Source organism: Homo sapiens, chromosome 10, assembly GCF_000001405.40.
Source record: "Homo sapiens chromosome 10, GRCh38.p14 Primary Assembly".
Lineage (NCBI taxonomy): Eukaryota > Metazoa > Chordata > Mammalia > Primates > Hominidae > Homo > Homo sapiens.
The window spans coordinates 42,804,965-42,829,107 of NC_000010.11; the positions used below are offsets into that span (position 1 = coordinate 42,804,965).

A 24,143-nucleotide genomic window follows, 5' to 3' on the forward strand; every position below is an offset into this window, starting at 1 on the left:
GCCTCAGCCTCCCAAAGTGCTGGGATTACAGGCATGAGCCACTGTGCCCTGCCCAAAATTTTCTCTTATGGACTGTGCTTTTCATAGTGCATGTAAGAAATCTTTGCCTCACCCAATGTCACAAATTGTCTCATATATTCTGTAAGTCTTACAGTTTCAGGTTTTACGTTTAGGTCTATAATTCTTTTTGAGTTAATTTTTTATAGAGTGTTGGGTATGGATTTAGGTTCCTTTTGACATATTGATATCTACTTTTCCCTGCACCATCTGCTGAAAATCTATTTTTTTCCCCGTTGAATTGCCCTGTATTGGTTGGCCATATATGGGTGAATATTTCTGGGCTCTCTGTTCTGTTCCATTGATATATTTGTTTATTTTTGTACCAATACCAACACTGTCTCTGTTACTTACAGCTTTATAATTAGTCTTGGAATTAAGTAGTTTTTAACTTTAGGTAGTTTTTCAAACTTTAGTCTCCTTTTCAAAGTTGTTTTGGTTAATCTAGGTTCTTTGCATTTTCATATAAATTTTAAGATGAGCATGTCAATTGCTATAAAAAAGCCCACTGCAATTTTGATTGGGATTTCATGGAACTTGTAAACAATTTGGGAAAATTGCCATCTTAACCACATTGAGTTTTCTGATCTATGAACATAGTAACTCTCCATTTATCTTGTTCTTTAATTTCTCTCAGCAAGGTTTTCAGGATACAGGTCTTATACAACTCTCAACAGTTTATTTTCATATCAACTTGTATTTATGTATGGCTAATATATAAGAAATGCAGTTGATTTTTTTTTTAATTGATCTTATATCCTGCAATCTTGCTAAATTACTTGTTAGTTCTGTTTTTGAGACAGAGTCTCGCTCTGTCACCCAGGCTGGAGTGCAGTGGCTTGATCTCAGCTCACTGCAGCCTCTGCCTTCCAGGTTCAAGCAATTCTCATGCCCCAGCCTCGTGAGTAGCTGAGATTACAGGCAGCCATTATCACGCCTGGCTAGTTTTTTTATTTTTAGTAGAAATGGGGTTTCACCAGGTTGGCCAGGCTAGTCTCAAACTCCTGACCTCAAGTGTGTGTTTGGAGGGGAGGGGTAAACTTTGACTAAACAGTATTCATGGTTTTCTAAGTAAATACTTCTTACTATCCCAAGGATTCTTTTTCTTTTATGCTGCTTTTTCTCCTGTTCTGCACAATAAAGCCTGGGCTTCCAATTCTGCTTTGACCTTTCACCTTGGTCCAATCTCATATGGTTCCCCCAGTTTCTGTGCAGGATGGTTCTGGGAGCCAAGCAGGAAACTATCTACAGAAAGGCTGAGATAGATCCCAGTGGTTTTACTTTCTTTCTTTCCTATCTGGATGACTTAATTTTTCTTGCCTTACTGCCCTGGTTTAAACTTCCAGGACAGTGTGGATTAGAAGTCAAAGTAAACAACCTTGCTTTGTCCTGATTTTGCTTATTTTCCAAGTGAACTTAAGAATCACCTTTCTGGCTGGGCACAGTGGCTGACGCCTATAATCCTAGCACTTTGGGAGGCTGAGGCGGGCGGATCACGAGGTCAGGAGTTTGAGACCAGCCTGGCCAACATGGTGAAACCCCGTCTCTACTAAAAATACAAAAATTAGCCAAGCGTGGTGGCACACGCCCGTAATCCTAGCTACTCAGGAGGCTGAGGCAGGAGAATTGCTTGAACCCGGAAGGCAGAGGTTGCAGTAAGCTGAGATCGCGCCACTGTACTCCAGCCTGGGCGACAGCACGAGACTCCGTCTCAGGAAAAAAAAAAAAAAAAAAAAAATCACCTTTTCTATTTCCAAAAGAAAAGTTTGTGGTGTGTTTTTTCCTAATTAAACTTTTAAGTTTGAGGTAATTGTAGATTGACATGCACGTGTAAGAACAAATACAGAGAAAAAAAAAGAACGAATACAGAGAGATCTCCTGTATCTTGTACTATAGCAGTATCTGTGTATATATGTACTATGTATACTATGTGTACTGTAATACAAGGTCACAGCCTGGATGCCAACATTGATACAATCTGTTGATCCTATGTAGATTTCTCCAGTTTCACTTATGTGTGTGTGTGTGTGTTTTACGTGTGTGTGTGTCTATACTTCTGTGCTCTTTTATCACATGTGTAGGTTTGTGTGTCTACCAACAGTTAAGATACGGAGCAGTTCCATCACAAGGATTGCTTGTATTGCTGTTTTATAAACACACCCACGTCCCTGCTGTTCCCCAGCCCCCAGTTCCTTCCCTTGTGAACCATAATGTGTTTTCTGTTTCTACAATTTTGTCATCTTCAAGAATGTTAAATAAACAGAATCATACAGTCTATAAACTTTTGTGAGGGGCTTTTTTCACTCAGCATAATTTCCTGGAGATCCATTCAAGTTGGTGCATATACCATAGGTCATTCCTTTTTATTGCTGAGTAGTGCTCCATTGTATGGATGTACCGGTTTGTTTAACCATTCATCCAAGATCAAGCTGGGTTGTTTACAGTTTGTTTTGTTTTGTTTTGTTTTCAGACAGGGTCTTGCTCTGATGCCCAGTCTGGGGTGCAGTGGTGTGATATTGGCTCACTGCAGCCTCGACCTCCTAGGCTCAAGTGATCTTCCCACATCAGCACCCCCAAGGAGCTGGGACTACAGGCATGCACCACCGTGCCTGGCTAATATTTTTTTATTTGTTTGTTTGTTTGTTTTGTAGAGACAGGATCTTGCTGTGTTGCTCAGGCTGATCTTGAACTCCTGGCCTGTTTTCAATTTTTGACTATTAGAATTGAGCTACTATGAACACTTGTATAGAAGTTTTTGTGTAAATATGCACTTCCCATTTTTCTGGGAAATAAATGCCCAATAATGCAATTGCTGGGTCATATGGTAATTGCACAGTTTCATAGGAGACTGCCAGAGTAGTTGGGCCATTTGATGTTTCTACTAGCAATTATGTGAGTGATCCAGTTTCTTTACATCCTTGACAATGTGTGGTGTTCTCACTGTTGTTTATTCTAGCTATTCTAATAGGTATGTGATATTTCATTGTGGTTTTAAGATATACTTCCCCAGTGGCTAATAATGGTGAGCATTTTTTCATGTGTTTATTTGCATTTTTATATCTTCTATACAGATAAAAAATGTCTGGGGATGTCTTTTTTTTGCACTTTTAAAAATTGGGTTGGGTTGGGTACTGTGAGTTCATTATATGTTTAACTCCATCGTCGGATGTGTGATTTGCAGATACTTTCTCCTAATCTGTAGTTTTCATTTTCTTAACGGGGCCTTTCACAGAGCAGAAGTTTTTATTTTTTATTTATTTATTTATTTATTTATTATTATTATTATTTGTTTTTTGAGACAGAGTCTCTCTCTGTTGCCCAGGCTGGAGTGCAGTGGCGCGATCTCCACTCACTGCAAGCTCTGTCCCCCGGGTTCATGCCATTCTCCTGCCTCAGCCTCCCGAGTAGCTGGGACTACAGGCGCCCACCACCACATCCGGCTAATTTTTTTGTATTTTTAGTAGAGACGGGGTTTCACAGTGTTTGCCAGGATGGTCTCCATCTCCTGACCTCGTGATCCGCCTTACTTGGCCTCCCAAAGTGCTGGGATTACAGGCGTGAGCCACCGTGTCGGGCCAAAAGTTTTTATTTTTGATGAAATCCGATTTACCAGTTTTTTATAGTATTTTTTGTTTTCTCTTTACACCCATGATCTATTTTGATTTTTTCATTTTATGAGATATGAGGCTTAGCTCAAGGTTTATATTTTCGCCTGCAATTGTATAATTTTTCTAGCACCACTTATTTTATTGAATTGCTTTTGACTTTTGTAAAACATTAGTTGAGCATCTTTCTGTGAATCTGTTTCTGGGTTCTCTTGTGTTCTATTGACTTCACATGTCAATCCCTTGGCCAGTACCACCCTTGCTGTCTACGTTCCTGTAGCTTTATAGTGAGTGTTAATGTTGAGTAGAGTGACTCCTCTTACTTTATTCTTGTTTTTCAAGATTGGTTAAGCTATCCCAAGGCTTGTGACTTTCCCTATAAATTTTAGAATAAACTTGTTTATGTCTACAACAACTTACCTGGGATTTTGGTAGGGATTGCATTAAACCTATAGATCAGTTTGGGGGGATAATCTTTTTCTATTTTGAGTATTAAAATAGATGAACACAGTATATTTATTTATTTTAGTTTTTATTTCTTTCATCAGTATTATGATTTTCAGCATACCAGTTGGGAATATGTTTTGATAAGTTTAGACCTAAGTATTTGATTTTGATTGATTTTCATTTGTTTCTCTTTTGTCCTGCTAAACTCACTTATTAGTTGTAGGAGGGTTTTGTTTTGTTTTGTCTTTGTAGATTGCCTGGGATTGTCTACACAGACAGTTGTGTAGAAAACATAGAGACAGTGTTATTTCTTTCTTTTCAACCTGTATGGCTTTTCCTTCTTTTTTTTTTAATTAAATTTTTTAGGGGTAGTGATGGGGTCTCACTATGTTGCTCAGGCTGGTCTCAAACTCCTGAATGCCAGTGATCTGCCTGCCTCAGCCTCCCAGAGTGCTGGGATTATAGGCGTGAGCGACCATGCCTGGCCTTCTTTCTGTTTTAAAATTTTCTGCCTTAATTCAGTGACTAGACTTTTAGTACAATGTGGAGTAAGAGTGCTGAGAGTGGACTTCCTATGTTGTTCCCAATCTTGTCACTGTTATTTATTTACTAACATGATTGGATGTTGAATTTTGTCTAATGCCTTTTGGTGTCAGTTGATATGATCATCTGGATATGGGTTTCATTCTTTACTCTTTTGATATAGATTACACTGATCCTTTTATTTTTTGAGACATGGTCTTCCTCTGTCACCCAGGCTGGAGTGCAGTGGTGCGATCATGGCTCACCACAGCATCGACCTCCTATGCTCCAGTGATCCTCCTGCCTCCACCTCCCACGTAGCTGGGACTACAAGTGTGTGCTATCATGTCTGGCTAATTTTTTTTTTTTTTTTTTTTTTGTAGAGCCAGGTCTTACTGTGTTGCCCAGGCTGGTCTTGGCTTCAAGGGAACTCTTGGCTTCAAGGGATCCTCCCACTTCAGCCTCCCAAGCGTTAGGTTTACAGGCAGGAGCCACCGCACCTGGCCTGATTCATTTTTTGAATGTTGAAGCAGACTTGCATACCTGGAATAACTCTCACTTGATCATGAATGAAAATGAAAATACAACATATGGAAATGTGTGTGTTTTTTTGTTTTGTTTTTTCCTTTCATGTCAGATGGTTAATGTGCTAATGTTGTAACAAGGGTCAAGGGTGGCATATCCCACATACATGCATGAATACCCAGTCATCACACTTATGAACTACGAAAAGATCACCATGTGAAAATTTTTATACAAATCTTTTTATGTGTTGTTGGATTCCATTTATAGTACTTTGTTGAGGACTTTTTGCATTCATGAGAGATACTGGTCTGTGAGTTTTTTTGTTTTGTTTTGTTTTTTCTTTTTGTGGTGGTACTGTCTTCATCTGGTTTTGGCATTGGGATAATACTAGCCTCATAAAATGAGTTGCAAAGTGTCCCCTATTCTGTTTTCTGGAAGAGTTTGTATAGAATTGGGATGAATTCTTTAAATATTTGGTGTAATTCTCCAGTGAAATCATCTGGGCCTGGAGATTTCTTATTCCAGAAGCTCTTAATTACAAATTTTATTTCTTTAATGGTTATAGGACGATTCAGATTATCTATTTCATCTTGCCTGAATTTTGGTAGTTTATGATTTTCAAGGTGTTTCAAGTCTTGTTAGGGAAGTGGAAGTTGCACTGAGTGCCTTCTTGAAGAGACCAGCTTGGGTAGTCTGAGGGTGATGTTTAGAGTATTTGCTTAATACTCTTTAACGGCTGCAGGAGCCTTTTTGATAACCCCTGTTTTATTCGTGATGTTGTTGGTTTGTGTCTTCTCTGTTTTTATCTTTGTCGTAAAATTTATTAATTTTGTTGATTCTATTCAAATGACCAGCTTTTTGTTTCATTGATTTTCTCTGTTTTTCTGCTTTCAATGTTATTGATTTCTGCCCTTTATTTATTATTATTATTTTTTTTTTGAGACTGAGTTTCACTCTTCTTGCCCAGGCTGGAGTGCAGTGGCACGTTCTTGGCTCCCCGCAACCTCCACCTCCGGGTTCAAGTGATTCTCCTGCCTCAGCTTCCCAAGTAGCTGGGATTACAGGCATGCACCCCCACGCACAGCTAATTTTTTGTATTTTTAGTAGAGACAGGGTTTCTCCCTGTTGGTCAGGCTGTTCTCAAGCTCCCAACCTCAGTTGATCCACCTGCCTTGGCCTCCCAAAGTGCTGGGAATACAGGCATGAGCCACCACATCCGGCCAATTTCTGCCCCTTATTATTTCTATTCTTCTGCTTGTTTGGGGTTTATTTTGTTCTTTTTGAAATTTCTTAGGTTATTGGTTTATCTTTTCTCATTTCTAATGTGAGCATTTAGTGTTTAAATTTCCTTCTCAGTACTGCTGAGCTGTACCCCACAAATGTTCACGTGTTGTATTTTCTTTTTCTTTTTTTTTTTTTTTTGAGACGGAGTCTCGCTCTGTCGCCCAGGCTGGAGTGCAGTGGCGGGATCTCGGCTCACTGCAAGCTCCGCCTCCTGGGTTCACGCCATTCTCCTGCCTCAGCCTCCCAAGTAGCTGGGACTACAGGCGCCCGCCACTACGCCCGGCTAATTTTTTGTATTTTTAGTAGAGACGGGGTTTCACCGTTTTAGCCGGGATGGTCTCGATCTCCTGACCTCGTGATCCGCCCGCCTCGGCCTCCCAAAGTGCTGGGATTACAGGCGTGAGCCACCGCGCCCGGCCTCACGTGTTGTATTTTCATTCATATTTCCTTTGGGACTTCTTTTTGGCCCATGCATTATTTATAAATATGTTGTTTTAATTATCAAGTATTTAGAGAGTTTCCTGTTTTTCTGTTATAGATTTCTAGCTTGATTATATTATGTTCTGAGAACATATTCTTATGAGTTGAATTATTTTAGATTTGCTGTGATTTCTTTTATTGCCCCAAATGTACTTCATCTTGGTAGATTTCTATTGACTTTAAAAATGTGTGTATTTTGCTGTTGGAGAGTAGGGTGTTATACGGATGTCAGATTTTGCTGGCTCACTGTTCAGATCTTTTGTAAATCCTTGCTCCTTTTCTGCCTAGTTTCACTCTGTCACTTACGCTAGAGTGCGGTGGCATGAACATGACTCACTGCAGCCTTGACCTCCTAGGCTCAAGCAGTTATCCTGGCTTAACCTCCTGAATAGCTGGTACTATAGGTGTGTGCCGCCACACTTGGCTAAATTCAAAATTTTTTGGAGAGACAAAGCCTTGCTATGTTGCCCAGGCTGGAACTCCTGGCCTCAAGCTATCCTTTGTCTTTGCCTCCCAGAGTGCTGGGATTACAGGCATGAGCCACTGTGCCCGGCCTCCGCCTAGTTTTAACAGTTGCTGAGAGGAGGGTGTTGAAGTAGATGTCTTCTTGGTGGGTTAATCCTTTTGTCATTAAGCAGATGTTACGGTCACTTCCTTTTCACCCCATTGGTGAAGGAGGGGTCCCTGCCCTAAAGTGTAGGAGATGGCTGAACACGACACCTGGCGTGGATGGATGAGACTGACAGCAGTGTTTTAGTCACATATACCCACAGCTCAGAGGAGGACACTGCATGCCACGCAGGGTCAGATGGGCACCATACTCTGTAGTGGAGTGAGGGCTGGGGGCTGAGGAAGGAGGCAGGCTTGGTAGTAACAAGAGCACACAATGACCAATGGTTCCTGAGGGGGAATGCAATTGGCTTGTTTGAATAAATTCATGGGCTGGCAGACAGGTGAAGTGAAACTTCTTAGGCTGAGGTGCAACCGTTCTGGCTGATAAAAGAACTAGCCAGGTGGGGAGCCTTTGCTGCTGGGTGGCGGGGTAGGGGGTGTCTGGTAGAAACAGGAAAACCCACGGCTAGGCCTTTGGGGCCCTGTGAGGCTCAAAGATGTCCAGGCAGCATAGGAAATTTTAGATCTTAAAATTCAGCGAAGACCCTCTCCAGCTCTGGTAAATTATTTTGCTTGAAGTCTACTTCATGAGATATTAATATATTCACTCCTGCTTCCTTAAAAAATTAATGATTACATAGGATATCTTTCTCCATTCTTTTACTTTCAGCCTACTTAGGTCCTTAAGTGAGTTTGAAGTTTCTTATGAACAGTATTTAGTTGGGCCATGTGTTTATTATAGGCTCTCCATCCATCCGTCTTTTGGTTTATTTAGACCATTTACATTTAAGGTGCTTATTGTTACATAATTGCTTATGTCTGATGTTTTTATTATTTGCTTTTTTGTTTCCTTTTTCTTTCCCTCCATCTTGATCTATTTCTGTATAATGTTGTTGCGTGTATCTCTTTGTATAGTCTTGAAGTGTTTGCTCTGGATGTTACAATATGCATATTGTAATATAGTAGTCTACTGGTACCAGTATTTACCACTTCAAAGTGTGGAAACCTGCCTTGCATTTATGTCTCTTTACCTTTTCCGCTTGTATGAATCACTGGCTTGAGTATTAGGTGGTGGTATAGTTTTTGTTTCAGTTGTCAAGTGTGATTTTAAGAACTGCGGATTGTCTCGTGTATGTATCCACATTTCTGGTCTTTCCTTTGTCCCTCCTCCCATAGTCCCATATTCATCCCTTCTGCATAAGAACTTTCTGTAGCCATTTTTTTATTTTGATTTTTTTGTTTTAATTTTTTGTATTGTGGAAATGACAGAACATATTTCTGTAGCCACTTTTTAGCATTTCTAAATTTACCAGAGACAAATTCCTATATTCTCTTCCTCTGATAATGTCTTTATTTCTCTCTTCATTTCTGAAGGGTAGTTTCATGGGATATAGAATTTGCAACCAACAGTTTTTTTGTTTGTTGGTTTGGTTTTTTTGTTTGTTTCTTTGGTTGGTTTTTTTTAAGCACTTGAAAATGTTGTGCCACTTCCTTCTGGCCTCCATGGCATTTGAGTTGGCATGTCCCTACAGGCATTCTGCCATTTTTGGTCTTTGTTTTTAGTTTTGAAAGTTTAATCAGTGTTGCTTTCTTTTGTTATACTTTGAGGTTTGCTCAGCTTCTTGAATCTGTAAGTTTATATCTTTCACTAAATGTGGGAAGCGTCAGGAATTAGTTATTTGCATGCTTTTGCAGCTCTGGTCTCCTGTGGGACTCAGATAACATAAATGCGGGGTCTTTTGTTATTGTCCCACAGGTCCGTGCAGCTCTGTTCATTTGTTTTCAGGTTATTTTCTCTCTATTGTTTAGACTGGGTGAATTCTGTTGATACAGGTTTCAGCTTCTCTGATTCTCTCCTCTGTCGTCTCCACTTTTACTCAATAGAGCCCATCTAGATAGATTTTTTTTTAATTTCTGTTACTGTATTTTATATTTCTGTAATTTCCATTTGATTCTTCTTCAGTTTCTTTGCTGACGTTTTCAGTTCTTTGTTTGTTGCCATAGGATTTGTAGTTGCTTGTTGAAGCATATTTATGCTGACTGTTATAAGTGATGAGTCAGATGGTTCCAACATCTGCCTATGTAATTTTTTTATTTTTGCAGGCAGTCCTCCTATTTGGGTTTAGTCTGTAGGTCCTGGTCTACTTTGTGGGCTGTGATTCCAATGGCAATTTAATTTCAGAGCCTTCATGGTGTTATTTTGGTCTGTTTGGCTTATATGTATCACTGGGATTCTCCCACCAGTCCCTGCTGTTGCCCACCTGAGGGAACAGGGGAGCTGCCCCAGGCTGGGCCACCTGCTGCAGCTAGGTGGGTGGGGAGTGGTGGTTGTCTTGGTGTGTGGAGCTGGTTTTCTTGTTATGGGGAAGATTTCCTTTGATCTGGGGGGACTGAGTCTGCCTGGGTTGCCTTCTATTGCTACGTTGGGAGTTGGGAAACTCTGGGCCTGGTCAACTTCCTATTGGATGAGGTCCAGGGAGACACCTGGCCACTATGCATTCCCTAGTCCTAGAGTCCCTCAGCAGCCTTTTTCTTTCCACCTTTCAGAATTCTCCTTTGATCATCTCCTGTCTATTATTTCTTAGGAGGGTATAATGTGTTATCTTCTCTAGACCAGAAATCCTTAATGGTGGTTTCAGGTTGTAACTGTGCTAAAGGGAGAATTGGCGTATTTTTGATGTTGAGTCTTTCTTTTCAAATGAGGACATATCATTATTCAGTAGATAATATTTACAACACCTACTTCCTTGGGTTGAAGAATGTGGTTAAGGCAAGGAAAGTACTTAACACAGTGCCTGGTGTGGAGAGCACCGATGAGTGTTGGTGGTGATGCTATTCCTTTTGTCCTTTGGTAGCATATTAAAGCTTTTCTTCTTTTTTAAAAAAATAAAGTTCTGGTGCATTTCTTGTTAGGTTTATTCCTATTTTATCCTTTTTTGCTTTTATTACAAATAGGAGCTTCCTATCTATTATAACTTCTACCTGGTTCTTTGGCCCTTATGTGAAAATGTTTTAATAGCCTTCTAAACATTGCTCTCCCAAATGAGTTTTAACTTGCCTATTTCTTTTATTTTCCTTTTTTTGAGACAGGGTCTCACTCTGTCACCCAGGCTGGAGTTCAGTGATGCAATTATGGCTCACTGCAACGTCTGCCTCCCGGGCCCCCAAAGTGCTGGGTTTACAGGCGTGAGCCACTGCACCCAGCCTTACTTGTCTGTTTCTTTTAAGAGTGGGAACTATAATTGAGCCCAGAGCTCCAAAAACAAATGAAGGAATGAATGAGTGAATAAGCTCTTCCCATGGGTTTGGTGTGGTTTGGGGCTCTACTCTTAATCTAAATGCTATGTTTTATATAACCTAAAATTTCCCCTAGGTGTGTTACACGATTGTGTTGTGTTGAACTTACATTGAGACTCCTTTTCACATGTGCTGGTATCAGCGTGGAGCTTTTCTATTCATTCCTTGAACTATTCGTTTGGGGGACACACATAGACCTCTGTGTCTTTCATAAAGAGTGTCCATTGGCCAGGTGCAGTGGCTCATGGCTGTAATCCCAGCACTTTGGGAGGCTGAGGAGGGCAGATCACGAGGTCAGGAGTTCGAGACCAGCCTGGCCAATTGGTGAAATCCCATCTTTACTAAAAATACAAAAATTAGCCAGGCTTGGTGGCGGGTGCCTATAATCCCAGCTACTCGGGAGACTGAGGCAGTAGAATTGCTTGAACCCGGGAGGCGGAGGTTGCAGTGAGCTGAGATCATGCCACTGCACTCCAGCTTGGGTGACAGAGTGAGACTCTGTCTCCAAAAATAAAAAACAAAAACAAAAGAGTGTCCATTGTGTATACTGGAAAAATTGAGATTGGGATTTTGATGTGAAGTGCGGAAATGTGGATTGGGTCCATTTAGTTTACCTAAACAGATGATGAAATACTAACTGTTTTACAAAGCATTCCCTAGTGCAAAGTTTTGCCTGTGTGTGTAGTGACAGGAACAGTGAGAATGAGGCTTGGAACGCAGAGCACACTGTGGGCCTGTGGTAGGTGGGGCCAGCAGCACATGCATACCTGGCTCACAGAGCAGCCTTTGGGTGTTCTTTTCCCAGAGGAGCTCTACGGTGACTTTGAAGACTTGGAAACAGGGGACGTGCACAAGGGAAAATCAGGCCCCAATACTCAGGTATGACTTTGTCGTAGCTGGCTGTTCTTGGTCATTGTGTTCTGAGAGAGGCCCACATTGAGAAATGCAAATCTTACTTGTGATGTGTGAAGATTGCAGACTGGATAGATAGATTCCTTCCTAAAGGGTGGGGATGTGGGGACCAAAGAGAAGCTTTCTTGTTTACTTGTTAAGTTTTGGATGACAGTTACTACCGTTTCTTGCCATAGTCATTTGCCAAGTCCACTGTGATTTTTCACTCACGGAAGTCTTAGCTTCTTGGACTTACATTCAACCATTGGCATCATTCTCCTTTTTTTAAATTTAAGTGTCATTTAAAAGAATGAAGTCCCTGTTCTCCCTAGTATTTCTTTAGAACAGGGTCTGGGAGCATCTGGGTGAGGGACACGTCTGTTATTTTTATTCTAGTTTGTGTTCCCAGCCAGCTTAAGGATTAGCAGCTAATTGTAATGCAGATGTAACCATTTCCTGTAGCAGTACCATGTTATTCAGAGACAAAGGTTGTGTTGTGTTTTCTTTTGTTTTATTGATAATGATAACAGATTTTTGCTAAGATTCTTGTTTAAATAGAACTTTAAAAAAGCTAATGTTTAAAGAAAAGACCTTCATAAACATACACAAAATTTTTTCTTCTGGAAATTTAAGAATGAAGATATAGAGAAAGAAGTTAAGGAAGAAATTGACCCCGACGAAGAAGAAAGTGCCAAGAAAAAGCATTTGGATAAGAAGAGAAAATTGAAGGAGATGTTTGATGCAGAATATGATGAAGGAGAAAGCACATATTTTGATGATCTTAAAGGAGAAATGCAGAAACAAGCACAGGTGAGAAACCTCAGTTCCTCTCAGCCCCTTGTCAAGACTATCATATAGCGCAGGAATCCCTGACTTTGTTTGGGTCCCTACGTCCTATCCTGCTTCTGTGTATCCTGCTTCTGTGCCTTTCATTCGGACTCCTGGGTAGAGATGCATGTGAGTGTGTTTATTCATGCAGTGAGCTCATTGTTTCTGCAGTCAGAGGGTCACCAGAAAAAGATCCATACCTATTTTGTAACAAGAATTAGGAAACAGAAATGACTGAGACATGGTCTCTACTTTTGAGACATGGTCTTACAATGTAGTGATCTGAGACAGTGTGTTCATTTCAGTGCAAGCATTGGCGGCCTATTCCAATCGCTGCTCCCTGATTTGAATGGCAGGTGATCAGTGGCCCCTGTGGCTTATAGACACACCAGAGCTCCCAGGGGAAGTGCTCTGAAAACTCATCCTGGTCAGAGTTCAGAAGGACATGTGGAGTATAAGGTCAGATGCAGAAATAAAGGGAGATGGTGTGGCCCTCCTGCCTGGGGATGCTGAGCAGGTTGCTGGAGGCGGTGATCTCACTCTGAAGGAGACAGACACAGAAACGTGTGTACAGTTGATGGTGAGCATCTGAGTTGCGTCTTGTTAGTGAGGCCAGGAGTGCCTGTGTAAGCTGGAACAGATTAGGTATATGATTTGTGAAACGGAGTTTCATCCTAGGTCTTCATCTAGTCAAAGGACTATTTCCTGATTAGGCATTAGCTTAGTGGTTGCTAGTCTGTGTTGACCTTTGAAAGGCATGACTAGGCTAACTCTGAAGTTTTTGCTTCACACCATTTACAATTTAAAATTACCTAGAGCCTTGTGGGCCATTGGAAAAGACTGAATGTTTCACTCTGAAATGGGAGTCCTTGGAGGGTTTTGAGCAGAGGAGAGGTAATCAGATCACTCTGCCAAGAGATCAGTCGGGTGGCACAAACCAGAAGGCTGGCAGTGGAGATGAGAGAAAGAGTCAAACCCGGATAGACTTTATTTGGAAGCTGGGTCAGTAGGATTTCCTGGTGGACTGAATGTGGGGTGTGTGAGAGGAAATGAGGATGTCGACTGGAAGTTCCTGGAAGGACGGGTTGTTGTAAGTTAGATAGGAAACCCTCTGCAGATGCAGTTTTGGGAAGATGATGTTTGGTTCGGCTGGGTATCATGCAGACAAGTGAAATGTCAGGTCTGGAGAGAGGTCTGGCCAGGGACTTAGATGTAGATGCCCTCAGCATGTAGATGCCACTTAACGCTGTGAGGTGGCCGGGAGTGAGTGCAGAGTGAGTGGGAGGAGCAAGACTGGCATGGGCGAGATGGGGCGATTGTGGCCGTGAGTCCTGAGCAGTGCCTAGGAGGGAGAAGCAGTGTGAGCATGCAGGCACACAGGAGGCCAGTTGTACATGGAGGCGAAGCATTGTTCAGATCCTGCTGCCATGTTAACTACGGTGAAGGCAGAGTTCACCACTGGAGGAGTCCTTCAGCGTGGAGGCCTTCAGCAATCTTGGCAAGCACCAATTTTCATGGATGTAGGAGAATGGGAGCAGAGGAACTGGAGGCTGCAACTGCAGAAAACTTTTGTGGGGTTTTGCTGCAGAGAGAAGCAGAGAAATGAAGCCGTTGTTGGTGGAAGAAGTGGAATCAAAAGGTTTTGAGATAAGAGAGAGAACAGAGGGAAGAGCTGTTGGAATAAAGTCCAGGAAGAGTGGATGGTGTCTAGTGAGCAAGTGATGTGTGGCCCTGAGTAGAGGCATGGACAAATATTCTGTGCCTGAGCTGCCTGTAGAACTTTCTGTGATCATCGAGATGCACGTCAGTGCTTCCCAATATTGTAACACTGGCCGCAGGTTGATATGGACCACTTCCAGTGTGACTAGTGTGATTGAGGAACTGCATTTTAAATATTATGTAATTGTAATTAATTTTAATGTAAATAGCCACTCATAGCTCCCCTATGGGCCAGGTCAGAGCTCTGATAAGGCTGGATATGGGAGGAAACCCTGGTAGAGGGCTGACCGTGGAGGTTCTTTTGGTTTTGGAGTGAATCAGGAAACAGCCATCAGCTGAGTGAAGGTGAGGGTGGTGGTGGGTGTTTGAAGACAAGGGAAAAGTGTGAAAGAATTGTTCAGAAAGGAAAGAAAGAAGATGTGGACTGGGGACGTTTCCAGTGTTCGGGCATGCAGGGCTCCACAGTTATCTACATTTGCTGTCCCTTGGAGCAGGAGAGAAGAAAACGGTTGGGACATATTCTGAGCAGACTGTAGAGGTAAAATATGTAGGTCTTTTTTTTTGGTTTTTTGTTTTTTGAGATGGAATCTCGCTCTATTGCCCAGGCTGGAGTGCAGTGGCACGATCTCGACTCACTGCAACCTCCGTCTCCCGGGTTCAAGCAATTCTCTCACCTCTGCCTCCTGAGTAGCTGGGACTACAGGCACGCACCACCACGCCCAGCTGATTTTGGTATTTTTAGTAGAGACGGGGTTTCACCATGTTGGCGAGGCTGGTTTCAAACTCCTGACCTCATGTGATCTGCCCACCTCGGCCTCCCAAAGTGCTGGGATTACAGGCGTGAGCCACTGTACCTGGCCAAATGTGTAGTATTTTTAATAGGGTAAAGCCTACATAATTCTGTCCACAGTTCCTTTACTTAGAAATTGCTCATTTGTTCATGTTAATCTTATGTTTATTACAGATAACAGCATACAGGTTTTTTTATTCCCCATCATGTACAGCTGAATCGCGCAGAATTTGAAGATCAAGATGATGAAGCCAGAGTTCAGTATGAGGGTTTTCGACCTGGGATGTACGTCCGCATTGAGATTGAAAATGTTCCCTGTGAATTTGTGCAGAACTTTGACCCCCATTACCCCATTATCCTGGGTGGCTTGGGCAACAGTGAGGGAAATGTTGGCTACGTGCAGGTGGGTCCCTTTGCTACATATTTGGTGCCTGAGGCTCTGTGGATTTCCCCTCCATCAATCATCTTACCCTCTCGTCCCCTCAGATGCGTCTGAAGAAACATCGCTGGTATAAGAAAATCCTCAAGTCCCGAGATCCAATCATATTTTCTGTAGGGTGGAGGAGGTTTCAGACCATCCCACTGTATTATATCGAAGACCACAATGGAAGACAAAGGCTTCTAAAGTATACCCCACAGCACATGCATTGCGGAGCAGCCTTTTGGGGTAAAATATGATTACAATAACTTGCCTGTTGCCAAGATTAAACCTTACAGGCTGCGTTATTATAGCTTTGTGCTTTTCTTTCATAAAATTCCACTCCTAAGATTTTTCTCTTTTCTGGGAGCGGGGAGGTGGTTTGGAGTATATATGTAAATCTATATCCAAATCTAAATGTCCATATCCAGTATGTTAAACTAGAATCTAAAATTTGTGGTTCGCTATATTTCTTTTTTTCCTTTTCCTTTAAGGCCCTATCACTCCACAGGGAACTGGTTTCTTGGCAATACAGTCTGTCAGTGGCATAATGGTAACTATCTTGGATGATTTCTTTTACAGATTGGTTTGAGAAATATATCCTGGGTGTGGGTTATTATGTACATGAGACTTTAAGTTGAAAATTACTCATTTTTATTAATACAAAGTAAATTTCCCTTTGCTTTTAATCTTCCTACATCGTTTTCAGTAGGGTGTGGGATTAGAGGAGGGGAGGTGGAAGAATTATAATGGTACATTTCCTATTTTTGTGCATCTTTTGCATTTATTTATCTAAGCAAGTACTTAAGCAGTGCTCACCATGTGCTAAGCACTATATGAGGTTGTGAGGAGCCATCAGAGACTCCCTGCAGCCGTGCAGGGAGTCCATTTTCATTTGACCAGTCAGGCAGGGCAGGGTTTATTGGTCCCATTTAACAGAGAAGAAAGCAGAATAATGAGCAGATGGAATCTGCCCTGGAGTTCCAAATTTTAATTTCCTAAACATTGCAACTGTATTTTTCTTTTCCATTTCATTCCAAATAAATCATTATAGTGAAATTACATTCCTCTGAAATCACTCTCAGGAAAGTACTCAAGGCGCCTTTTTTTTTTTTTTTTTTTTTTTTTTTTGAGACAGAGTCTCACTCTGTCATCCAGGCTGGAGTGCAGTGGCACGATCTTGGCTCACTGCAACCTCTGCCTCCTGGGTTTAAGCGGTTCTCCTGCCTTAGCTTCCTGAGTAGCTGGGATTACAGGTGTGCACCATCATGCTGAGCTAATTTTTGTATTTTTAGTAGAGATGGGATTTTGCCATGTTGGCCAGACTGGTCTTGAACTTCTGACCTCAGGTGATCCACCCGCCTTGGCCTCCCAAAGTGCTGGGATTACAGGTATGAGCCACTGTGCTCGGCCTCAAGTCACCCTTGTTAGTTTGGCTTACCAACTTTAAAGTTTTGGATTGCTTTTGTCAAACCACTGGGTTGCAAGTTCACATGGTCTCTCTTGTTTTTCTTAGCTAATTGTAAGTAAAATTCACTTTGGTAATTTATTGTGTCACATAGAATTGAAGTTTTTCTCTTGCTGATATTATTCCTATTTTCAAATTTTGGGGTTCCTGTTAGCCTGATTTTCGGATAGCTGCTACAGGAGTTGTCCTTGATCTGGATAAATCCATAAAAATTGTGAAGAAATTAAAGCTAACTGGTTTTCCATATAAAATTTTCAAGAACACTTCATTTATTAAGGTCTGTATATCTATATATTCTCATATTTATAAATGTCCATATTGTTTGAGAAAAGGAATGAAATACCTTTAAAATATGGGCCTCATATTTTTATAAAAGTGTTTGAAATCTTTTATAAACTTCATATTTTGTTTGCTCCTTTATATTCTGTGTTACTTAAATATGCTCTAAAAAGCAGTGGTAAAACAGCTATTTAGGAATTGAGGCTGTTATTCATAACTTCCATGTGAGACTGCCACATATTGAACTCATATTGAACTCATATTGAAAATATGTCATTTTATCCACTGGGTTTTGTTTCCTACTTTTTTTATTTGTGTTAAGAAAGGGAAAAAAATCACAAGTTTGTCTAACCATTCAGTAGAAAAATCGACAAAGCATTTGCAGACAACTTGGCAAGGTTACAGAGAAACGGATATACTGTTTTTCAGTATTTGGGGAGGTTGGTTTGAGCAGCATTTATTGAGAATTTCATTAGTGGGGATGTTTCTATTGAAAACACAGAGTTAGAAAGTCATAAAATGTTCTTGCAATATAAGGTAATAATACCACCAGCGTTTATCTTACTGTTTTCATGTTCTAAGTGCATGCACCTGAGTAAAAGCATCTGGGCTGCAGTCCAGTCTGAGAGATGCCAGGAAAGGCTGCCTAGGCCAGTTCAGTCCAGTAAATCCCTCTTCGATCTTCTCTTCCACACAGACAGCGGTGATGAGCATGCCCATGAACTGACATGATTATTTTGGGGAAAATGAAAGACTTGTATTCTTTTTGAGATAGTAATTCCACTTTCAGGGGCGAATACATTTTGTTTATTTTATCACCCTTCAGTGAGTTGTTTTTGTTCTTTAATCAAGGATGTATGTTTGAAGTAAGAAGTAAAGCATAAAGTATATGATTTTGTGTGTGTGTGTTTTTATCTTGCTATACCTGTAGGGAATGTTTAATTCTGCCTTGGAAGTGGCCAAATTTGAAGGTGCTGTGATTCGAACAGTCAGTGGGATAAGGGGGCAGATCAAGAAAGCACTCCGAGCTCCAGAAGGAGCTTTCAGGGCCAGCTTTGAGGATAAGCTGCTGATGAGCGGTGAGTGTCTTGAGTAGTGTTCAGGGCAGGGTGTTACCATTCATGCTTGACTTCTAGCCAGTGTGACGAGAGGCTGGAGTCAGGTCTCTAGAGAGTTGAGCAGCTCCAGCCTTAGATCTCCCAGTCTTATGGGTGTGCCCATTCGCTTTGTGTCTGCAGTCCCCTGGCCACACCCAGTAACAGTTCTGTGATCTATGAGAATAGTTTCCTTAGCGAGCTTTTCCTTCAAATACTTTGCAGCCAGGTAGAGAAGTTTGGAGTGAAGGTTTTATTCTTTGTTTCTTCGCAATATGGATATGAATCTTCTTTTGAAAATGTTAAAGTAAATTACCTCTCTTTTCAGATATTGTCTTCATGCGAACTTGGTATCCTGTTTCCATCCCAGCGTTCTATAACCCAGTAACATCTTTGTTGAAACCAGTGGGTGAGAAAGACACCTGGTCAGGAATGCGGACCACGGGCCAACTCAGGCTCGCCCATGGCGTCAGACTAAAGGCGAACAAGGACTCTCTGTATAAGGTACTGGTCGCGTGTGTGTTAGTGGAGATGAAGCCTGTGCTCTACAGACAGGGAGTCACACAGACACTTTTCTATAATTTCTTACATGCTTTGAATGTTCAAGTATAAAGTCTAACGTTAAATTTGATTGAACAGTTGTATATTTGTGGAATATTTTGGAATGGAACACCAAAAAATGATAATAGTGGTTCTTTCTGGATTGAAGACAAACTTTTCTTTTTTAAAATAAATTTTATTTTATATATTTGAGGTTGACCACATGATCTTAAAGGATACATATAGATAGTAAACTGGTTACTATCGTGAAGCAAATTAACATAGCTACCATTTCACACAGTTAGATTTTTTTGTGTGTAACAGGAACAGCTAAAATCTACTTACTTAACAAAAATCCCAAAGACAATACATTTTTATTAACTATAGCCCTCATGATATACACTAGATCTCTAACTTGTTCATCCTACATGTCTGCTACTTTGTATTGTTTTAATATACATCTCCCCATTTCCTATTGGTCATTTCCTATTTGGCCCATTTTTCAACTGGGTTGTTTTTCTGCTATTAAGTTGTAAGAGTTCTTTACTGATTTTTGGATATTAACACTTTATCAGATATGTGGTTTGCAAATATTTCTCCCAGTCTATAGGTTCCCTTTTCATTTTGTTGGTTGTTCCTTTGCTGTGCAGGAGCTTTTTAGTTTGATGCAGTCCTCCTTGTTTATGTTTACATTTGTAGCCTGGCTTGTGGTGCGATATCCAAAAAATTATTGCTAAGGCCAACGTCAAGAGGCTTTCTCCCTATGTTTTCTTCTAGGAGTTTTATGGTTTCAGGTCTTATTTGGGTCTTGGGTCTTGTATCTATTTTGAGTTGATTTTTGTGTATGGTGTATGATCAGGGTCCAATTTTATTCTTTTGCATGTGAAAATCCAGTTTTCCCAGCACTATTATTGAAGAGACTGTCTTTTTTACCATTGTGTTGTCTTGTTTGCCCTTATCAAAAATTAGTTGACAGTATATGTTTGGATTTATTTCAAAGGTCTCTGTTCTGTTCCATTGGTCTATTTTTTTGTTTTTATGCCAGCACCATACTGTTTTGATTACTATAGCTTTGTAATACAATTTTAAATCAAGAGGTGCGATGCCTCCAACTTTTTCTTTCACAGTAATCTCTTGGCTGTTTGGGGTTTTTTGTGGTTCCATATGAGTTTCAGGATTGTTTTTTCTTTTATTTTCTTTTTTTTTGAGGCAAAGTCTCACTCTGTCGCCCAAGCTGTAGTGCAGTGGCATAATCTCGGCTCACTGAAACCTCTGCCTCCTGGATTCAAGCAATTCTCCTGCCTCAGCCTCCCAAGTAGCTGGGACTACAGGCACGTGCCACTATGCCCAGCCAATTTTTGTGGTTTTAGTAGAGACAGGGTTTCACTATGTTTGCTGGGCTGGTCTCCAACTCCTGACCTTGTGATCTGCCCGCTGTGGTCTCTCAAAGTGCTGGAATTACAGGCATGAGCCACTGCGCCTGGCCAGGATTGTTTTATTCTGTTCTGTGAAGAATGCCAACAGAACTTTGATGAGGATTGTGTTAAATCTGTATATTTGCTTTGGGTAGCGTGAACATTTTAACAATATTAATTCTTCTGATCCATAAACATAGGATGTCTTTCCATTTGTTCATGTCTAAATTTCTTTCATCAATGTTTTATGGTTTTCAAGTGTACACATCTCTCACCTTCTTGGTTAAGTTTATTCCTAAGTTTTTGTTTTTCTTTGCTGCTATTGTAAATTAGATTATTTTCTTGATTTGTCACCTAGGTTATTTGCATACAGAAATGCAACTGATTTTTATATATTGAGTTTATACCTTGCAGCTTAACTGAATTGATTTAGTAGTTCTCACACTTTTTTGTGGAATCTTTGGAGTTTTTTATGTAAAGGATCTTGTCATCTGCAAATAGAGATAATTTTACTTCTTTAATTTAGTTGCCTTTTTTTTCTCATCTGATTGCTCTTGCAAGTACTCTATTGAATAAAAGTGATGAAGCTGGCCATCCCTATCTTGTATTCAATCTTAGTGGAAAAGCTTTTAGTTGTTCCCCACTAACTATTATGTAGACTGTGGGTTTTTCATAAATGGGCTTTATTACGTTGAGGAACTTTCCTTCTATACATAAACTGTTAAGAGGTTTTATCAAGAAAGGTTGCTAAACTTTGTTAAATGCTTTTTCTGCATCAATTGAGGTGAACATGTCGTTTTATCTTTCATTTTGTTAATGTGATATATCACATTGATTGATTTACATATGTTAAACCAGCCTTGCATGCCAGGGATAAATCCCACTTAAACACGATGTATAAAGTTTTTGATGTGTTGTTGAATTCTATTTGCTAAAATTTTTTTAGGATGTTTGCATCAGTGCTTAATTTATTGGAGAAGTTGACCTGTAGTTTTTGTTTGTTGTGTGTGTGTGTGTGTGTGTGTGTGTGTGTGTGTGTGTGTGTTTTGGTTTGGCTTAGGTATTAAGGTGATACTGGCCTGGTAAAATGTGTTTGGAATTATTTCCTCTTGCTCTATTTTTGCGAAGAGTTTAAGAAGTAAACTCCCAGGGGATGGGAGTGACTCTGGACATGGGAGTGACATAATAGTGACTCTGGACCCTACAGTGGTGGGACACAGCAGCATCTCAGTCTCTACGAGGCCAGGCGCAGCATCAGCAAGGACCCCAGAATGATGGAGCACTACTGTGGCTTGGGCCCTCGGGGGCAGGGACCAGTGCAGCAACTACTTCTCTCCCTGGGGAGGCAGGTGCCTGGGCAACTCAGATTCTCCAGGGCTAGTCCAGTTCCAAGGAAGCAGGGTTCTACAGTTGTTTGTCCTGAAGGGCAAGGTACCCCAGTTCAACCAATGCCATTTTCCTGGGACGTGGGGGTGCCATGTTGGCTCATCCCTGGCAGGTGTGGCTGCTCAGCTCAGCCAAGACACTGATTCCCTGTGAAGCAGGACAGTGCTTCAGCTCTTGTGCAGTGGGGAGTGTGACTGCTCAGACTGGCCAAGGCACTGATTCCCTGGAAAGCAGGGCACCAAGTCAACTCAGGCTCCAAGGGGCAGGGCGCAATGGCAGCTGGGAGGGGAGGGGCACGGCAGCGTGGCCCCGCAGGGTGGGGTGCATGCTGTGATGTGGACATCGTTTGTTCCCACCAGCACTCATGTTGAAATTTGATTCCAAATGTGGTGGTGTGGGAGGTGGGGCCTAGTGGGAGGTATTTGGGTCACAGGGCAGATCCTTTATGAATAGATTAATGCCTTTTCATGGGACTGGATTAGTTACCAGGAGTGGATTGTTACCAGAGTGAGTTCAGCTTCCTAGACTCTCGTGTTTCCTCTCTTGCCATGTGAGCCCCTTGCATACACCTGTTTCCCCTTCCACTTTCCCCATGAGGTGAAGCAGCACAAGACCCTCGCCAGATGTGCTGCCTGATCTCAGACTTTTCAGACACAAGCAGGGTGAGCCAAATAAACCTTTTTTATAAAATAAGTTACCGAGTCTCAGGTATTCTGTTACAGCCACACTAAATGGCCTGAGACAGTGTAACAGCAGCTCAGTGTAACAGTGGCCCACCGGCCACTAGGTGGGGGTGATATAGAGCAACAAAGCCTGAGGATGGAAGAAGGGTGTGGTGGCTGCTCACCCTGGGTGGGACATGCTCCCGAAGTGATTCCAGGTCCAGGAGGGCACGTTGCAGCAGCAGCTGGTCCATGGGGGTGGGGCACAACGTCAGTTCCTTCTCTGAGGGGAGTGCTGGGGCTGCTGGGCCCCTCTTGCTTCCTTATCCCCACAGGGAGACATCCCCTCTGCTTCAGGCTGATCCCTCTGGGGGATGGGTGGTGGGGGGCAGATATTTCCTTCTCTCCTTTATGTGACCATCCTAGTTTTCTGTGCTCTACTAGATTTCTGCTACTCCTTGATGCACTCTGGGGCTCTCCTTTAGTGACTTTCATCAAAATATAGTTGTTTGCTGCTTTGGCTGTCTTTGTCAGGGGATGAGCGCAAGGGGCTATTGATCGGCCCCTTGCTGGCATCACTCCCTCTTAAACTTTTCACTGGGTACTCTTTTGAACTATTTTTTTCCCCACCATATACATGTATTTTTAAAACATTAATGTGCTAATTTCTATTAAAGCAATGTGGATTTTTCTGAAAGTTTTAATGTTTTAATAAGCTTTTTATTGAAATGTTAATGTACATACAGAAGAGTGCCCAAATCATAAGTGTGCAGCTAGATGAACTGTAGCACACCAGCTGCCACGCCCTGGACCAAGCAGTAGCCTCGCCCTGTGGCCTCTCCCAGGCACTGCCTCCCCAACCCACAAAATAGCTACTTTGCCAGTTCCTGACGTAGATTTGTTCTGCCTGGTTTTGACTTTTATAAAATACAGCACATTCTATTTAGCCTGGCTTCTTTGGTTGAGTATTACAGAACACATCCATGTTCTTGTCTATGGCAGACATTGATTTATTGTCATTGTTGAGTTCCAGTATATGACTGTGTCACCATTTATCCATTGATGGGTAAAATGATTTCCTATTTTTGGCCGTTATCCCACGGCCCTTAACACTAAGGTCTGGATATGGGACTTGCAGGTACGGAGGGGCACACACACTTCTGCTGGAGGATCCCTGGGTAGGGTGGAGACTCCAGGGCACCTGTGCTCTGCTTCAGTGTGGAGGCTTCTGTGTCGTGTTCTGGGAGCACAGCGGCTTGGCCTCCACCACCAGCAGCAGCTTAAAGAGTTCCTGCTGTTCCACGTGCTTGCTGACAATTGGCCTCTTCAGTTTTTTTTTTTTTATTTTAGGTTTTCAATGCCTGCCTGGACTTGTGTTTTCATTTAGATTTTGGTTTCTTAGAACTGTTGTTATTCTCTTCACAGCTTAACAATGCATTTGAAAAGATTTGTTTTCATGTGGAGTGTTCAGTTTTGTAATAAGAGGGTTGTTCAAGGCATCAGTCTGCCACTCTGCTAGAAACAGAAGTCTCCCAGGCATTTCTTTTTATATAAAGTAGTTAATGAAATTTTGAACCGTCTTACATGAATTTTTATTAAAATACACTTCAGGATGTGGTGCCCATTATCCATTCTACTCTTTTGTAACAAGTAGATTTCTCTGAATTCTTGAATTCAAAAACAATCGGGGTTCCTAAACAAAGAATATGGAATATTATTGGGGATGATGTCTTTAATAATACATTTCAAGATAGGAGAAACTTGTTCTATATAGTTGACTTTAACAAAAGCCTAGGGCAAAACTTTCAATTTATTAACAGTATT

General features: G+C 41.4%; 1 protein-coding gene and 1 non-coding gene across 9 annotated transcripts in view, besides 2 other annotated features; one reads left to right on the forward strand and one right to left on the reverse strand.

Annotated features, from left to right (window-relative positions):
• BMS1 (BMS1 ribosome biogenesis factor) overlaps window positions 1–24,143 on the forward strand; it is a 52,143-nt gene that overhangs the window by 22,170 nt on the left and 5,830 nt on the right. For 3 of the 8 annotated variants that reach the window (XM_005271846.4, XM_011540402.3, NM_014753.4), the window contains exons 14-21: window positions 11,635–11,708; window positions 12,354–12,530; window positions 15,272–15,460; window positions 15,544–15,724; window positions 15,970–16,028; window positions 17,098–17,220; window positions 18,154–18,301; window positions 18,645–18,820. In XM_005271846.4, the coding sequence (XP_005271903.1) occupies window positions 11,635–11,708; window positions 12,354–12,530; window positions 15,272–15,460; window positions 15,544–15,724; window positions 15,970–16,028; window positions 17,098–17,220; window positions 18,154–18,301; window positions 18,645–18,820 (1,127 nt within the window). Of the gene's footprint in view, window positions 1–11,634; window positions 11,709–12,353; window positions 12,531–15,231; window positions 15,461–15,543; window positions 15,725–15,969; window positions 16,029–17,097; window positions 17,221–18,153; window positions 18,302–18,644; window positions 18,821–24,143 lie in introns of those variants that run through there. The other 5 variants (XM_047426040.1, XM_047426041.1, XR_007062019.1 and 2 more) reach the window with 5 other exon arrangements.
• LOC124902575 (small nucleolar RNA U13) lies at window positions 5,263–5,366 on the reverse strand. Its single transcript, XR_007062408.1, has one exon. It is a non-coding gene; the product is annotated as a small nucleolar RNA U13 (small nucleolar RNA).
• Window positions 11,575–12,498: an enhancer, noted in NCBI's record as "OCT4-NANOG-H3K27ac-H3K4me1 hESC enhancer chr10:43311987-43312910 (GRCh37/hg19 assembly coordinates)". NCBI's record gives its function as "activates a minimal SCP1, AML or CMV promoter by ChIP-STARR-seq in naive and primed H9 embryonic stem cells {active_cell/tissue: H9 hESC(naive and primed)}" and the evidence as "EXISTENCE:reporter gene assay evidence [ECO:0000049][PMID:30033119]".
• Window positions 22,193–23,074: an enhancer, noted in NCBI's record as "H3K4me1 hESC enhancer chr10:43322605-43323486 (GRCh37/hg19 assembly coordinates)". NCBI's record gives its function as "activates a minimal SCP1, AML or CMV promoter by ChIP-STARR-seq in primed H9 embryonic stem cells {active_cell/tissue: H9 hESC(primed)}" and the evidence as "EXISTENCE:reporter gene assay evidence [ECO:0000049][PMID:30033119]".